Source organism: Homo sapiens, chromosome 7, assembly GCF_000001405.40.
Source record: "Homo sapiens chromosome 7, GRCh38.p14 Primary Assembly".
Taxonomy (NCBI): Eukaryota; Metazoa; Chordata; class Mammalia; order Primates; family Hominidae; genus Homo; species Homo sapiens.
Genome location: NC_000007.14, coordinates 139,339,202 through 139,355,882, shown reverse-complemented (window position 1 = coordinate 139,355,882; position 16,681 = coordinate 139,339,202). Strand labels below are relative to the sequence as shown.

Below are 16,681 nucleotides of genomic sequence, written 5' to 3'. Positions count from 1 at the left end.
TCATTCGTTCATTGAGAATCCATTAACTAACATCTTTTGTCAATTTAGGAAATTCTTAGCTCTTACCTCCTCAGATATTGCCCCTCTCATCAACTTCTGGACATTTAAATACATGCATATTAGATAGTTTTCACTGTATCCTATCTCTTTACTCTCAGTCTTGCACTTTTTACCTTGGTCTTTCAAAGCCGATGCCTTTTTCTGACAAATTTTATAGTTCATTAATGTCACTATGGAGCTGTATCTAATTTGTTGTTAAATCCATCAGTTGAATTTTCAGTTGTAGAATTTGTATTAGGTTCTTTATCAAACCTATAATGTCATTTTATAGTTCCTGGTTCCCTGATGAAATTTCCAAGCTTGGCTGCTTCTTTGACCTTAGTGAACAATTGTTGTGTAATCTGAGTTGGCCAATTATAGTATCTTAAGGTTTTTTGTGGTCTGTTGCTCATGTTGGTTCTCACATATGAAGTCTTTTCTTGTGTGCCTGGTTTTCTTTGTGTGCTAAACATGTATTTGTAAAAAAAAAAAAATGTATAGAAATAATATAAGCCCTAAGTATAGGATATAATCCTGTCTTCCTCCAGAGAGGATTTTTATTTTCCTTTTTAGGTAACTGAAGAGATTACTAGTCAGGAACCACCATAATACAGGTTCAAGGCCTCATTTTCTCTTGACCAACAAACAACAAAAATCTGGGCGGAAAGTCTGGCAAGGAGGCTGGGTGGGCACCATGGCTCACACCTGTAATCCCCACACTTTGGGAGATCTACGCAGGAGAATCACTTGAGGCCAGGAGTTTGAGACCAGCCTGGGCAACATGGAGAAACCCTGTCTCTACAAAAAGTACAAAAATAAAAATTAGCAGAGCATGTTGTGCGCCAGTAATCCCAGCTACTCAGAAGCCTGAGGCAAGAGGCTCTCTTGAGCCCCATGTGGTCAAGACTGCAATCAGCCATGACCTTACTACTGCACTCCAACCTGGACAACAGAGCAAGACCCTGTCTCAAAAAAAAAAAAAAAGTCCAGCAAGAATTTTTGTTTTATTTACTTCCAATTCACTTTTGGGATTGAATTTCAGGGTCCTAGCTTAAAGTGGGTGTGATTTATTAGAGTCCCTACCTTTGTGAGCCAAAACTTTTTTTCTCTCAGTCCTATAGCTCACTCAAAGTGCAGCTCAGTTTCAATACTGAAGCTATTTCTACCAAATTGACAAATGCTGGCAGGGTATAGTGGCTCATGCCTATAATCCCAGCACTTTGGGAGGCCAAGGCCAGTGGATAACTTGAGGTGAGGAGTTCGAGACCAGCCTGGCCAACATGGCAAAACCCCATCTCTACTAAAAATAAAAAAATTAGCCAGTTGTGGTGGCACGTGCCTGTAATCCCAGCTACTCCGGAGGCTGAGGCAGGGGAATCGCTTGAACCCGGAAGGCGGAGGTTGCAATGAGCCAAGATCGTGCCACTGCACTCCAGCCTGGGTGACAGAGAGAGACTCTGCTTCAAAAATAAATAAATTGACAAATGCCATCATGCCAGCAATGTGTCTTTGTGTGCTACGCTACTTGTCTTGGTTGTCTTCTCCTATGTTCTGACCCAGCATTTCACCACTAGTTTTATTAGCTCTTTAATGATTTCAAGAATTTAAAAAAATTTTGACTTTTGTTCCAATTGTCTTCAACAGAAGGGTCACTCCAAATTACCTAGACTGCCATTAACAGAATTGGAAGTTTGTTCTCCTGTTTGTAAATTTTTTCAATTTTTTTTTTTCTGAGACCGAGTCTCTATTGCCCAGGCTGGAGTGCAGTGGCGTGATCTCGGCTCACTGCAACCCCTGCCTGCCAGGTTCAAGTAATTCTCCTGCCTCAGCCTCCTGAGTAGCTGGGATTACAAGTGCCAGCCACCAAGCCCAGCTAATTTTTTGTATTTTTAGTAGAGACGGGGTTTCGCCATGTTGCCCAGGCTGGTTTTGAACTCCCAAGCTCAGGCAATCCGCCTGCCTCGACCTCTCAAAGTGCTGGGATTACAGGCGTGAGCCACCGTGCCTGGCCTTCAATTTTTTTTTGTTTCTTTGTTTTTTTTGGGTTTTTTTGAGATGGAGTCTTGCTCTGTCACCAGGCTGGAGTGCAGTGGCGCAATCTAGGCTCACTGCAACCTCCACCTCCCGGATTCAAGTGATTCTCCTGCCTCGGCCTTCTGAGTAGCTGGGACTACAGGAGCCTGCCACCACGCCCGGCTAATTTTTGTATTTTTAGTAGAGATGGGGTTTCACCATGTTGGCCAGGATGGCCTCCGACTGCGTGATCCACCCGCCTTGGCCTCCCAAAGCAAAAATTTTAAGTGTAGTAACCATGTATTCATCTTAGCATCTGAAAAAAAAAATCTCTGTATGTCTATGTCTACATTTTAGCAATGATAACCATTCCTCTTCCAGGAACAAGGTCTCAGAGGGTAACAAAATAATATAAAGTAGGATTAAACTATACATTTAAAACTAGGTAATTAAAACAGAATAGGTACAAGTAACATGTTTTGCTAGCTGTCCAGAACAGACAACCCTTCAATTTATTGTAATTTATGAACTAAATATGGTAAATAAAGGCTATATCATACAAATTAATATTGCGGTTTTACTTGGGGCATCGGTACATACAATCAAATTTTATAAACATGGTGCCTATTAATTTTTGGGACAGTCTTGCTCTGTCACCCAGGCTGAAGTACAGTGGCGGGATCTTGGCTCACTGCAACCTCTGCCTCCCAGGTTTAAGCGATTCTCTGCCTCAGCCTCCCAAGTAGGTGGGATTACAGGTACCTGGCACCAAGCCCAGCTAATTTTTGTATTTTTAGTAAAGACAGAGTTTCACCATGCTGGCCAGGCTGGTCTCGAACTCCTGACCTCAGGTGATCTGCCTGCCTCAGCCTCCCAAAGTGCTGGGATTGCAAGCATGAGCCACCGTGCCCGGCCGGTGCCTATTAATGTAGATTTTAAAATTCAAATTTTTTGAAAATTACTATCTTTTAGTTGGATAAATTAAAACTTACTTTACAGACTGCCTTGGATTAGCCTGCCTTTAGTTCAGAGCAACACAGATTTCTTTTCCCACCACATAATCCTAGTATGTGAACATCTTGTTCTTATCACATGTTCATATTTGTATCTCTAACACTTAACCAGACAAGGAACTCAATACTTTATAGCCAGAAACATCCTCAGTTCTAGTGAAAATGTATTAATATCTGAAGTTTGTGGAGAGGAGAAATGACAAGAGCCAAACCTAAACCAAAAGAACTAGTTAATTGGTTTATTCAAGACAGGGGAATTAAAATCAGTAAGCATATAAACTATATTGCTTGAAAGAAACTTTTTAAAATAATTTATATCTTTGAGATGGGGTCTTGCTCTGTCACCCGGGTGAATGCAGTGGCGCAAACATGGCTCACTGCTGCAGTCTCAACCTCCCAGGCTCAAGGGATCCTTCTACCTCAGTGTCCTGAGCAGCTAGGATTACAGGCAGGTGCCACCATGCCCAGCTAATTTTTTTATTTTTATTTTTGTAGAGAAGGTGTCTCCTTATGTTGCCCAGGCTGGTCACAAACTCCTGGCCCCAAGCCATCCTCCTGCCTCAGCCTCCCACAGTGCTGGGATTAAAGGTGTGGACCACCATGCCTGGCTTTTCTTCTTTTTTAGAGATGGTCTTTCTCTGTCGCCCAGGCTGGAGAGCAGTGGCTATGATCATAGCTCACTGCAGCCTCTAATTCCTGGGCTCAAGTGATCTTCCTACCTCGGCCTCCTGAGTAGCTGGGACTATGGGGGCATGCCACCACACCTGGCTAATTTTTACATTTTTTTTAGAGACAGGGTCTCATTATGTTGCTCAGGCTGGTCTCAAACTTCTGGCCTCAAGCAGTCCTCCCATCCAGGCCTCCCACTGTGCTGGGATTACAAACAGGAGCCACCTCCCCACATGTTTAAGAGTGAAAAGGTAAGGGTAGCTAAGGCAGTATCACCCATGTAGTAGGCATTCATACATCCTTGTTGAAGAAAAGAAAGTGAAATTTAACCTGAAATCCTGAAGAATGAATAGGAAAGAGCTATTGAAGGGGAGTATGATTGGAAGAAGAGCTTTCCCTGTATGAGGAACAGCAAAATGTTGAAATCAAGACCATGGCTCCCAATAACTGAATTTCTGTATTCAGTTCTAGCTGGACTGTCAAACACAGAGAATAGAGATGAAGCTGAAGAGGTCTGGCAAGGGCCAGGCCCTGGAGGTTCTTGTTAAAGTCTTTCTTTGAAGGGTTCTGAGTAGAATGACAAGAACAGATCTGTGTTGCATAGGGGAAAATGGACTTGAAGAGAGCATAATTGGAGGTAAAAGGGACCAATTAGGGAGGGCAGTGGTTAAGGGAAGAGATGTAAGAGGTCTACACTAGGATAGCAGCAATAAAAATTGAAGGGCTTATTAGGAGGTAAAATCTGATTTAGTGATTGTTTAACTGAAGATATGAAGGAGAGAAAGCAGTAAAGAATAACTTAGATTTCTGGCTTCAGGGACTGAGTGAAAGTGTCATTGAACTGATAGGGAATACCAGGAGAGATTTGTAGGGGAAGATGAGGAGGTTCCATTTCGCACACATTGAATTTGAGATAACTGAGTTATCTAAGTGGTGTCATCCTCCAGGCCGTTGGACATACAGGTCTTCAGCATGCCAGAGGAGCCTGAACTGGAGTTATCAAGCATTTTGAGAATAATTGAAGTCATGAAAGTGGAGGTGATCACTCAGGGGAAACCATGTAGGGTGTGACATAAGGACCTTGGTCTGGACCCTGAGGAATACCCAACATGTAAGGGATACACAGAACATGAAACTGAAAAATGACTAGAGTAAGAAAAAAACAGAAGAATGTGGGCCAGGCGCAGTGGCTCACACCTGTAATCTCAGCACTTTGGGAGGCCAAGGCGGGCAAATCACGAGGTCAGTAGTCGGAGACCAGCCTGGCCAACATGGTGAAACCCCATCTCTACTAAAAATACAAAATTAGCCAGGCGTTGTGGCGGGCGCCTGTTAATCCCAGCTACTCAGGAGGCTGAGGCAGGAGAATCACTTGAACCCAGAAGGCAGAGGTTGCAGTGAGCCAAGATCGCACCACTGCACTCCAGCCTGGCAACTGGGCGAGACTCCATCTCAAAAAAAAAAAAAGAAGAATGTGGTGTCATCAAAGCCAAGGGAAAAGCAGGGAATTGCCCATAGTGTCAAATGCTCCCTAGACAACAAACGAGATAAAAAATAACTAAGATCCACTGGGTTTGGTGTCCTGAAGGTCATCTGTACCTCTGGGTTGCAGTTTTGGTGGTAGTAGAGGGGCGGAAACCAGACTGCAGTGCATTGAGGATGAGTAAGTGGTGAAAAATGCAGAAAATGGATACATAACAACAACATGGATTACTAACAAGATAAGGTGGCTGGGTGCAGTGGCTCACACCTGTAATCCTAGCACTTTGGGAGGTCGAGGCGGGTGGATCATGAGGTCAGGAGATGGAGACCATCCTGGCTAACACGGTGAAACCCCGTCTCTACTAAAAATACAAAAAATTAGCCGGGCGTGGTGGCGGGCGCCTGTAGTCCCAGCTACTCAGGAGGCTGAGGCAGGAGAATGGCGTGAACCCGGGAGGCGGAGCTTGCAGTGAGCAGAGATCGCGCCACTGCACTCCAGCCTGGGCCACAGAGCGAGACTCCGTCTCAAAAAAAAAAAGATAAGGTTAAGGCTCAAAATCAGTATGCTCAACAAAAGAAGCTGCCTCAAAAGACTGCATACTGTATAGCTGCATTTAGATAAAATACTGGAAAAGCCAAATCTATAGTGACAACAAGCAGGTCAGTGGTTGCCGAGACCAGGTGTGGGGAAGGAGAATTGACTGCAAAGGGGCACAAGATAACCTTTTGGGGTGATGGAAATGTTACATAGCTTTACTGGGATATTTATGACACAGGTGTATTCATTTGTCAAAATTCATTGACCTGTACACCTAAAATGAGTATATTTATTATATGTAAATTTACCTTGATACAACTTATTTTAGAAGTTTCAAAAATACAGCAAGTGAATATAATTCATTCAAGTCTTTGAATACGTTAATTCATTTGTGAAGAGGAACAGCGGGTAGTAGCTGTAAAAGCATTTGAGATAGAGGCAGAGTAGTTTTTAGAAGGAAAAGTCTTAAGCATATTTAAGTACTATTAAAGGAAAATCCGGTGGGGGGGGGGGGAGCAGTTGACATTAAAGGAGGTAAGCAAGAGACAGCAAAATGAAGTAAATCACTTATCACTAGTGCTTTATCACTTATCACTAGACTAGTAACCAAAACCTCAGGATTCTCAGGCTGGGACCTTCCAATTTAGAGTTTACTGCCAATATAGTTTGTGTTCTAGAATCAATTCTTTCTAACACCGACTTCAGCTGATTATTGATGGTGCGACTATGAATAGGAGGTACAGGTTGGTTATATGTGAACAGAAATGGCCTGAGTAAATTATTTAAACCTTAATAACATAATACGCATACACTTCTGAAGACTGATGGCAGTAGGGCTTAGAAAAGGGTTCATGATAAAAGGAATGAGAATAAAGTAAAAAGATAAAAACAAACAGTAAGATTTTCTCTTTGTTGAACACTCATTATGCACCATGCAAGTGTCTGATTTTTTTGTTTGCTTGTTGGTTTGTTTCCGAGACACAGTCTTGCTCTGTTGCCCAGGCTGGAATGCAGTGGCGCCATCTCAGCTCACTGCAACCTCCGCCTCCCGGGTTCAAACAATTCTTGTGCCTCAGCCTCCAAAGTAGCTGGGATTACTTGCGTGTGTCTGGCTAGTTTTTTGCATTTTTAGTACAAACGGGGTTTCACTATGTTGGCCAGGATGGTCTCAATCTCCTGACCTCAAGTGATCTACCTGCCTCAGCCTCCCAAAGTGCTGGGATTACAGGCGTGAGCCACCATGCCCAGCCCTAAGTGTTTTATATAAACATTATTCTCAATTATTACAACAACCTTGTTGGCCTTCCCATTTAATATAAGGAGGAAAAAGCACAGGTCAACTAACCTGCCCAAGATCACAAATCTGGTAAATTATACAAGTAGAATCATAATATAAATATTTTTTTTTTTTGAGACGGAGTCTCGCTCTGTCACCAGGCTTGAGTGCAGTTGTGTGATCTTGGCTCACTGCAACCTCCACCTCCCGGGTTCAAGCGATTCTCCTGTCTCTGCCTCCAGAGTAGCTGGGACTACAGGCACACACCACTAAGTCCAGCTAATTTTTGTACTTTTAGTAGAGACGGGGTTTCACCATGTTGGCCAGGATGGTCTCAATCTCTCGACCTTGTGATCCACCTGCCTCGGCCGCTCAAAGTGCTGGGATTACAGGCATGAGCCACCGTGCCCGGCCTAAATATTTATTTTTTAACAATCTAAATCTATATGACTTCAAAACTGTAATATTTCTTACCATTAGACAATTCTGCCTCAAATCTCTTCTTGAAAAATAATGGCCAGACATGGTGGCTCATGCCTATAATCCCAGCACTTTGGGAGTCCTAGGTGGGAGGATCACTTGAGCCCACGAGTTCAAGACCAACCTGGGCAACACAGTGAGACCCCCATCTCTATTAAAAAAAAAAGGAAAAACATTATATATTATTGTATATAATATTGTATATTATAATGTACATATTATTGTATATATTCAATATGGTAACAACAAAGGAAATCAAAACATTAACCTATCCTCACCCTTTTGCTTTCTTCACTCTTACCAAAGTAAAATATCAGTATTAATAACAAACCTGCATCCATGAAATAAAACAGAGAACAAATAAACATATGTCAGCTGGGCATGGTGGCTCACACCTGTAATCCCTACATTTTGAGAGGCCCAGGCGGGCGATCACTTGAGGTCAGGAGTTCGAGACCAGCCTGGCCAACATGGTGAAACCCCATCTCTACTAAAAATACAAAAATGAGCCGGGTGTGGTGGCAAATGCCTGCAGTCCCAGCCACTCAGGAGGCTAAAGCAGAAGAATCACTTGAACCTGGGAGACAGAGATTGCATTACTCCACTGTATTCCAGCCTGGGCAACAGAGTGAGACCTTGTCTCAAAACAAAACAAAAAAGGTATGTTAAACATTTCTTTTTTTTATACATTCAGTCGAATAAATGCTTGTTTGACCTATTAATACTATTATTTTAATGTTAACCTCTTAGAAGAGATGGTGTTTTGAATGGCCTTTTTTTTTTTTGAGACGGAGTTTCACTCTTGTTGCCCAGGCTGGAGTGCAATGGTGCAATCTCGGCTCACTGCAACCTCCGTCTCCTGGGTTCAAGCGATTCTCCTGCCTCAGCCTCCTGAGTAGCTGGGATTACAGGCATGCGCCACCATGCCCAGCTAATTCTGTATTTTTAGTAGAGATGAGGTTTCTCCATGTTGGTCAGGCTGGTCTGGAACTCCCAACCTCAGGTGATCCGCCCACATCAGCTTCCCAAAGTCCTGGGATTACAGGTGTGAGCCACCACACCCGGCTTGAACTGCTTTATGAATAGTTCTGTTGAGGTTGTACCTCTCCTAGTGGAGCTAAGTTATGTATTCAAAAACATTTAATACATGCAATGTGTAAGTCACTGTGGAAGGTGCTTTGGAAACTGCAAAGATGAATGAGACATAGTCCCCGAGAAAAGAGGTTATCTACCTACCAGAAGAAACTGACATATACCATAAAGGAGCCAAAGGTAAATAAGTGTTGGCAATTCACAGAAAGAGAACGATTTTTGAGGAAATAAGGATATAAGAAGCAAATAGACCCTTTAGGAGACTATTTTATTGGTTCAGCCAAAAGATTCTCAGTGCTTGAACTAGGACAGAGGCAGTGGAGACAGACGAGGAGAAGGTTATTAGAGCTACTGCAGAAGCTGAAATTGCTAAATAATTGTGAAAAATAAGGAGAGAGGAATACCAAATGAAGCCCAAGTTTCTGTCTTGGTTAGCAAGTGCATGGTGGAGCTATTTGCCCAGATAGGGAGTTCAAGAGAAGGAACAATTTGACAAGATTAGGAGACAGAAAGAGATGTCTATGTACTCATCCATCCCTCTCTGTGGGTTATAGCTGAGCTGTGGCCATGTTCCTCAGCCTAAGGGCCTGCATTGGTCAGGCCTAGGGAGGTTAGAACTCTCTAGTAGAGAGTCTCTCGTAACCTATTCTGGTTCAGGGGCTGCCCAGTTAAAAATAAAATATAAAAAGACCTCTCTACTATTGAGAACCCCTAAGAGCTTCACCATCTCAACCTTAATTCGCCCACATCTTTATGTATCCCTTTAACTCTCCTCAATGTCCCTATTTGAGTGTGCCACCTATTTCCTGCCAGGACTGTAACACATCAAATTTATGTATTTTTAAATGAGATATGTATGTATAATTGTATATGTGTAGGAAATATCTGGAAAGATGCACATCAAACTGTTAGTAATAGTGACCACCTGGTAATGGGGACAAGGGAAAAGGACAAAGGAAAAGAGGGTTTCTTTTATTTTATGTTTATAACATTTGAATTCCTTAAACAAAAGGCTTATACTAATTTTTTTTTTTTTTTTGAGACAGAGTTTTGCTCTTGTTGCCCAGGCTGGAGTGAGTGCCATGGCGCGATCTCAGCTCATCGCAACCTCCACCTCCCGGGTTCAAGCGATTCTCCTGTCCCAGCCTCCTGAGTAGCTGGGATTACAGGCATGTGCCACCACGCCTGGCTAATTTTGTATTTTTAGTAGAGACGGGGTTTTTCCATGTTGGTCAGGCTGGTCGCGAACTCCCAACCTCAGGTGATCCGCCTGCCTTGGCCTCCCAAAGTGCTGGGATTACAGGCGTGAGCCACCGTGCCTGGCTAAGGCTTGTACTACTTTTAAAATAAAATATAAAAAAATTTTTTTAAGTAGAAAAACAACATCAGTCTAGTGCAAAAAGTTCAGTAAATTCACTGAGAGTAAAGATGAAATGTCCAGTTAATTCCCCTAAGAACTAGTAAACAAAATTACAGAGAAAAACCTTAAACTTAAAAAAAATTTAATGATAAATACATATTGATAGAAATTATTCAATTCTCCTATGAATGCAGCATCCAAGGATATTCTCCATGTTCATGGCTCCCAGCCCTTCCCTCCAGGCTGATGGGGCAACTTGAGACCCACCAAGCCAGCAGACTCCTCCACCGAGCGCTCACCCTTGCCATGAAATTCCTGATGTAGGGCCACATGTTTCCGGATGCTACGCAGGAGGCAGAGATAGGTGGCAGCTTGGAAATGAAGCTCATGTTGGGCTCTGCACAACTTTTCACTGGTGACCTAGAGAAGCAGCAAGTCAGAAATTCTTAACCCAGCTAGAGATACAGGTCCACAGAGAAAGATTTAATAAATAAGCATTCACTAGAGTGAAAGTAAATTGCACAGAGGAAATACAGACATGTATGTATATACATGTATACTTAATACATCTATAGAGGCACTCTATAGTTATTAGTAAAGCTGACCTCTAGTTCGGATTTTTAAAAGGAGTTGCATTGAATGTCCCTGTATTCAGTCAGTACTGCAAGAAGTCATCTAGTTTCAATTCCTTAATTTTACAGATGAGGAAACTAAAGTCCAGAGATGCTCAGAGGTTGGTTAATGGTAGATATGGAAATTATAATTAGGTCACTCATCATTAATGTCACCTAAAGAATATTATGTAGAACTTTCTCCCTTTCAAGCAAATAAAGGACTGCTTTATTTATATTTCTGTGACTTTGATTAATGTGGCATATACCTTTCATTACAATGAAAATTGAAAACTTGGCCGGGCGCGGTGGCTCACACCTGTAATCCCAGCACTTTGGGAGGCCGAGGCGGGCAGATCACAAGGTCAGGGGATCGAGACCATCCTGGCTAACACGGTGAAACCCTGTCTCTGCTAAAAATCCAAAAAAAAAAAAAAAAATTAGCCGGGTGTGGTGGCGGGTGCCTGTAGTACCAACTACTCAGGAGGCTGAGGCGGGAGAATGGCGTGAACCCAGGAGGCGGAGCTTGCAGTGAGCCAAGATCGGGCCACTGCACTCCAGTCTGGGTAACAGAAGGAGACTCCATCTCAACAAAAAAAAAAAAAAAAAAAAAAGAAAGAAAATTGAAAACTTTTGTCTGAAAAATGATAGCTTTGTGCTAAATAGTAACAAATGAAGGTTTCATGTATAAAACTAGTATGCTTATGTTCATATTACTTATTACAATTGGCCCTCCATATCCATGGGTTCTGCATCTTTGGATTCAATCAACTTGTGATAAAAAATACTCAGAAAAAAATAAAAGGATTATCATGTCTTACCAAACATATGTTTTGTCATTATTCCCTAAACAATGTAGTATAACAACGATTTACATAGCATTTACACCGCATAAGGTATTATAATCTAGAGATGACAAAGTATACAGGAGGATGTGCATAGGTTATATTGCAAATACTACAGCATTTTATGTCAGGGACTTGAGCATCCATGGATTTTGGTATTCCTGAGTGGGGGTGGGGGGTGTCCTGGAACCAGTCCCCACAGTTACTGAGGAATGGCTATTCTCGCTCTTACAATTTGCTTATCCATCTTGAAAACTCTGGACTCATGACTTTAAGAAGCTAGAAATTCCATATCCATTCCAAAGTCCCCAAATGATTCCAAACCTTTTTTCTTCATCATACTTAACTTTTGAGATTCACTGCACCCTCTTTAACTAGTTCTGTATTCAAGGCTGTGAGAAAGGGGCAGGAAAGGTGAGATGGGGATGTGTGCATAGCTCTGAGGGACTAAAGGAGCCATGTCCAAATGTGGATAAATCTGGGCACCACTGCCTACATAATACGCCCCCCACCAACTCTTTTTTTTTTTTTTTTTTTTGGGGACAGGGTCTCACTTTGTTGCCCAGGCTGGAGTGCAATAGCGTGAACATGGCTGCTGATCTCCCCAGCTCAAGTGATCCTCCTGCCTCAGCCCCGCAAGTAGCTGGGACTACAGACGCACACCACCATATCCGGCTAATTTTTGTATTTTTTATACAAACAGGGTTTCACCATGTTGCCCAGGCTGGTCGTGAACTCCTGGGCACAAGCGATCCACCTGCCGCCTCCTCCCAGAGTGCTGGGATTACAGGTGTGAGCCACCGCTCCTGGCCTAATCCCCTTTCTCTATTTGAATATCTAGTGTTAGAATCTGAAAACTAGAATGTGTGTGGCTTCTTGGTTTTTGAGACAGGGTCTCGCTCCGTGGCCTATGCTGGAGAGCAGTGGTATGAACATGGCTCACTGCAGCCTTGATCGACTTCTTGGGCTCAAGTGATCCTCTCACCTCAGCTTCCCAATTAGCTGGAACTAGAGGATGGGCCATCACGCCTGGATAATTTTCAAATTTTTTGGAGAGGAAGTCTCACTACACTATGTTGCCCATGCTGTTAGAATGTGGGTTTTAGGATCTGCAGATCATGTTGAAAGCAACATTCATTAGCTGCTTAAAAACAGAATTAATCTGCTTTAATACAAATTTAACTTTTTAGTAATTTAAATTTTATGAGAAATCAACACCAATGTCAAGCATTAACAAATCATAGCATCCACTTCTATTAATATATAAGCCCAAATTTGTGGAATTTGACATGGGAATTCTAGGTTAATGTAGGATAGAATACTGCTCTTGATTCGGTTGAGCCTGAATCATGAGGACAAAAGGGTCAGCAATAGACAGGAAACAGTAAATAGATCACAAGAACCCAAAAGAGATCAAATGAAATAGAACACTGTATTTTCCCTGTGGAGAAAGGGTAGGTTTCTCCCTAATAGAATCCCTTCTCCGGAGGGAAAGGATAGAGAAAATGGGATGGTTATTCAGTTAGCTGTGAGCCTGAAGGAAACAGAAACCATTTCCCCTATGCTCAAGTGCATTCCAGAGTGGTATTTCCAGAATGTACCATGAATTTCAGAACCATTACCAAGTCTCTCTCAAGGGTAATAATGTTATCCCCATAAGGTACAACTATAATCATGTCACCTCCTTAAAAATCTTAGAATGGGGCCAGGTTTGATAGTTCACGCCTGTAATTACAACACTTTGGGAGGCCGAGGCAGGCGGATCACCTGAGGTCAGGAGTTCAAGACCAGCCTGACCAACATGGAGAAACCCCGTCTCCACTAAAAATACAAAATTAGCCGGGCGTGGTGTCGCATGTCGCCTGCCTGTACTACTCGGGAGGCTGAGGCAGGAGAATCGCTTGAACCTGGGAGGTGATCACAATCTTAGAATGGCTTCCCATTACACTTACAATAAAGTTTAAGTTCCTGTTCGGCCTACCACTTCATCTACCTCCACTTCACCCACCACACCTTAGGGCTAAACCACTCTCAACTGGCAATTTTTCTCCCCTTGGGCTTTCAATTGTGTAGCTTTTAAACCTGGACCCTAACCCCAATTTACTTGCTAACTCCAAATTAGCCTTCAGGTCCCTGATTAATTTCCTCCGGAAAACCTTCCCTAACTACCCCTTCTTTATACCCCAGCCCCTGTTGTCTACACCTTGAGCACTTATTTATCCTCAGTACTTTACTGTATGGCTCCTTAGGTGGGCAGCAAGTGTCTTAAGGACAGGACACATGTGCATCTGATTCTTCCTGTTTAGACCAGGTTCCTAGCACAGACCCTAACGTTGCCACCTTTTAAAAACTAGGTGAATTTGAGTTCTAAGATTTTACATTCTGACGTCCGTGGCTCAGAAATTCGACAGTTGATCGTTCTCCCTTTCCCCACATTGCTCAAGGGCAGCAAGTTTCCTTCCCTAAAGCCCAGTTGTTCTTTTCCGCCTCAAAAAGAAATGCTTCTTAGAATAACTTTTCTAGGGGACGGGTGAGGAAATTGTTGGCCAGATGCTGTGGCTTTAAGTCTAGCAACAGTACACCCTTCAACTCCATCTTCATTGTTTTATCCCCAGCATTGAATCCTCCATTCCACTTTCCTGACTGCCCTCCGCAGAGGCAACAGACCAGCCAATGAAATCCTTCGGGACGGGTCCGCCCCTCTGCAGGACAGGCTGACGTCCCCAGAGCGACTCTGCGCCCCCCCCCGCTGGTCCTTTGGTCCCCGAGTTTATGCCAGAGCATGGAGCCTAGGGCCTGGGTTGGTTTGGTCAGAACCAGGGCTCCGTGGGAGGGTTGGCCTCAGAAATGCAGGAATTAAACACCGTGCTCCCCACCCTAGCCCAGACCCGGCTCTTCCTCCCTCCCCAGCACGTAGAGCACCCGGGACATGGCTCCCGTACCCGATGTGCACGGAAAGCCTTCACAAGGTACCGATAGGCCGCGGTGTCGCGATAGGGTCGGCCGGTGGCCGCGCTCAGGTAGCGCAACTCCCGCAGAAGTCCTCGAAAAGTGTGCGACGGGGACCCTAAGGCCGCCATTGTCCTGTCCTTCTCCGAGCGTGGTGCCCAACGGCGTCCTACGACCCTGAAAACCCCTCCTCCGGCCCAGGCGCCTAATGGTACGGTCGGACAGACTACCGACTCCCCCTATCGACTGACGAGCAGTGGAACCGCTCACTTGTCCGTTGACCGAACCTTATTAATCGAAGGCCCAGGGGCGCCGTAACAAAATCAAACGAAACCCGACTGTTAACTGAAGGTACCAGGACCTCTAACCCAGAACAAGGGTTTGGGGAAACAGGGGCTTTTCTTCACTGCGTCATTGAAGATGCCCGTTAGCCGACCAACCGCTGAGTCTCAGGAGAAGCGGGCCCGGCGGGGGGTGTGGGTGTGGATTTGATATGGAACACGCTGAGAAGACATTTTTAAATGATTTATAAAAGGGATATCAAAATTCAACGTATTGACGTCTCCCCAAATCCCAGGGGACCTGCGGCTCAGACAAAGGACATGGGTGTGTGCAGATTCTCGAAAATTGCAGCCCACCAGCTAGTAAAAACACACACACACTTCCCATTTAAAAAAAAAAAAAGTAAAGTTGGCATATTTCGCTTTGTTTAGAAAGGGGAAAAAAGGACAAAAGTCACAGGCCACCCCAGATGGGACTCGAACCCACAATCCCTGGCTTAGGAGGCCAATGCCTTATCCATTAGGCCACTGGGGCTTCTGCAAACGACGCGCTCACACAACATATTCAACTATTTTCCTCTTTGGTACGTCATCGTCACTTCATTTTCGCCTTACCCTATCCCACGAAACCACACCTAGCGCCCACGTGAGGGGTGACGTATGCTGGGAGTTGTAGTTAGAGAACAAAAGTCCACATCACCGCGCCAAAGGCTTTACCCTCGAAACTGCACCGATGCTCCGGACGTTGAACGGGCGCGCGCACGCTTCTGCGTACGCGCTTGCCTGCGCAATAGTCTCCGCGCCTGCGCCGTAGTCCCCGCGCCTGCGCAAAAGCGGGCATGCGCCGTCGCGGAGCACAGCGCGCTGGGCAAATTGGCCGGATCTTCGAGACTCGCCCTCTGAACGTCAGCTCTGGTGGGTTTTTACCGGAAGCAGCCGGACCTTTTCCGGTGTTGCGAATTTCCAGGAGGAGCTTTGCTCCAGCGGCCGTTAGATGGCGCCTGCCGCGGTCAATTTCTGCTTCCGGTTGAAGCGTTGAGGCCATTTCCGCAGGCCGGGCGTGGTGGCGCACGCCTGTAATACCAGTACTTTGGGAGGCCGAGGCGGGCGGATCATCTTAGGTCGGGGGTTTGAAACCAGCCTGACCAACACAGAGAAACCCTGTCTCTACTAAAAATACAGAATTAGCCGGGCGTGGTGGCGCATGCCTGTAATCCCAGCTACTCCGGAGGCTGAGGCAGGAGAATTGCTTGAACCCTGGAGTCGGAGGTTGTAGTGAGCCGAGATCGCGCCATTGCTCTCTAGCCTGGGCAACAGGAGCGAAACTCCATCTCAAAAAAAAAAAGAAACATGTGCCGTGTCCTTTGAATTGGTGCGTCAGCGATAAACATGGGACAGCGGGGAAGTAATAGTACATTGATTAGGAATTAATTTTAAAAATTAGCAGTTCATTTTTTGGTTCTGTTCCTAATTGTATAACGAACAAATCACTTCGGAGTCCCAGTAAACTTACCCTTATAGTATCACAGGGGCTTCCCATTGTCCCTAAGATAAAGCTCAGACGACATAAATTGATCCTCGCTTGTACCTTAATCTTCATCTCTCACTTTTCGCTTATCACCCTCTGCTCCAGGTATCTCCACTTTCATTGTCTCTTCCCCACCACACACCTTACCTGATATTCCCTCTGCCTGAAACTTAACCATTTGTATTAATATGCCTCTTTACCCTTTGGGCTTCAGCTTACTCCAGAAGTCTAGGTTAGACGCTTCTCCAGGCCCTTGAAGTCAATACGGCAAGGTGAAAATTATTCATTTCACCTCCTCTGGTCCCCTGTTGCTCCCTTTATTTACTCATCGTAAATAACTCTTAATGTAGGTACATGGCCACTACTCCATACTGTAGTTGTCAGTCTCTTCCATCAGACTGGGAAATTGTTCAGCTCCGAAAGCCCTGTGCCTAACAGAAAAGCCTGTTTCTTCACCAGGCTTATTCCTTGGTAGCATAGTCATAACAGCTTAGTCTGAAGCTCC

At 44.3% G+C, this 16,681-nt stretch overlaps 3 protein-coding genes and 1 non-coding gene across 7 annotated transcripts in view, besides 5 other annotated features; all 4 read right to left on the bottom strand.

Moving 5' to 3' along the window:
• FMC1-LUC7L2 (FMC1-LUC7L2 readthrough) overlaps positions 1-14,546 on the bottom strand; it is an 82,118-nt gene extending 67,572 nt beyond the window's left edge. Inside the window, exons 1-2 of the mRNA NM_001244584.3 lie at positions 14,361-14,546; positions 10,262-10,382 (exon numbers count right to left, since the gene is read on the bottom strand). Of these exons, the coding sequence (NP_001231513.1) occupies positions 10,262-10,382; positions 14,361-14,498 (259 nt within the window). The 5' untranslated portion in view covers positions 14,499-14,546. The remainder of the gene's footprint in view (positions 1-10,261; positions 10,383-14,360) is intronic.
• Positions 1-15,411, bottom strand: part of LUC7L2 (LUC7 like 2, pre-mRNA splicing factor) — an 82,983-nt gene extending 67,572 nt beyond the window's left edge. Inside the window, exon 1 of the mRNA NM_001244585.2 lies at positions 15,366-15,411. The gene's annotated coding sequence lies outside the window, so the exon portion shown is untranslated. The remainder of the gene's footprint in view (positions 1-15,365) is intronic.
• FMC1 (formation of mitochondrial complex V assembly factor 1) lies at positions 9,555-15,411 on the bottom strand. Of its 4 annotated transcripts, NR_073058.2 has the most exons (3): positions 15,264-15,411; positions 10,893-10,986; positions 9,555-10,382 (listed from the first exon to the last, which is right to left on the bottom strand). NR_073058.2 is itself a non-coding variant. In NM_197964.5 (2 exons), exons 1-2 carry the CDS (start codon positions 14,496-14,498, stop codon positions 10,179-10,181), a joined length of 342 nt encoding a protein of 113 aa, NP_932068.2. In that variant the 5' UTR covers positions 14,499-14,546; the 3' UTR covers positions 9,555-10,178. The 4 variants fall into 4 exon arrangements, 1 of the variants encoding a protein (NP_932068.2); NR_073059.2 differs by lacking the exon at positions 10,893-10,986; NR_073060.2 differs by lacking the exon at positions 10,893-10,986 and having other exon boundaries at positions 15,284-15,411.
• Positions 14,003-14,570: an enhancer, noted in NCBI's record as "NANOG-H3K27ac-H3K4me1 hESC enhancer chr7:139026059-139026626 (GRCh37/hg19 assembly coordinates)". NCBI's record gives its function as "activates a minimal SCP1, AML or CMV promoter by ChIP-STARR-seq in naive and primed H9 embryonic stem cells {active_cell/tissue: H9 hESC(naive and primed)}" and the evidence as "EXISTENCE:reporter gene assay evidence [ECO:0000049][PMID:30033119]".
• Positions 14,306-14,555: an enhancer, noted in NCBI's record as "active region_26758". NCBI's record gives its function as "activates an Ori minimal core promoter by ATAC-STARR-seq in GM12878 lymphoblastoid cells {active_cell/tissue: GM12878}" and the evidence as "EXISTENCE:reporter gene assay evidence [ECO:0000049][PMID:35858748]".
• Positions 14,826-14,895: an enhancer, noted in NCBI's record as "active region_26757". NCBI's record gives its function as "activates an Ori minimal core promoter by ATAC-STARR-seq in GM12878 lymphoblastoid cells {active_cell/tissue: GM12878}" and the evidence as "EXISTENCE:reporter gene assay evidence [ECO:0000049][PMID:35858748]".
• Positions 14,926-14,995: an enhancer, noted in NCBI's record as "active region_26756". NCBI's record gives its function as "activates an Ori minimal core promoter by ATAC-STARR-seq in GM12878 lymphoblastoid cells {active_cell/tissue: GM12878}" and the evidence as "EXISTENCE:reporter gene assay evidence [ECO:0000049][PMID:35858748]".
• Positions 15,111-15,183, bottom strand: TRR-CCT4-1 (tRNA-Arg (anticodon CCT) 4-1). Its single transcript has one exon. It is a non-coding gene; the product is annotated as a tRNA-Arg (tRNA).
• Positions 15,306-15,365: an enhancer, noted in NCBI's record as "active region_26755". NCBI's record gives its function as "activates an Ori minimal core promoter by ATAC-STARR-seq in GM12878 lymphoblastoid cells {active_cell/tissue: GM12878}" and the evidence as "EXISTENCE:reporter gene assay evidence [ECO:0000049][PMID:35858748]".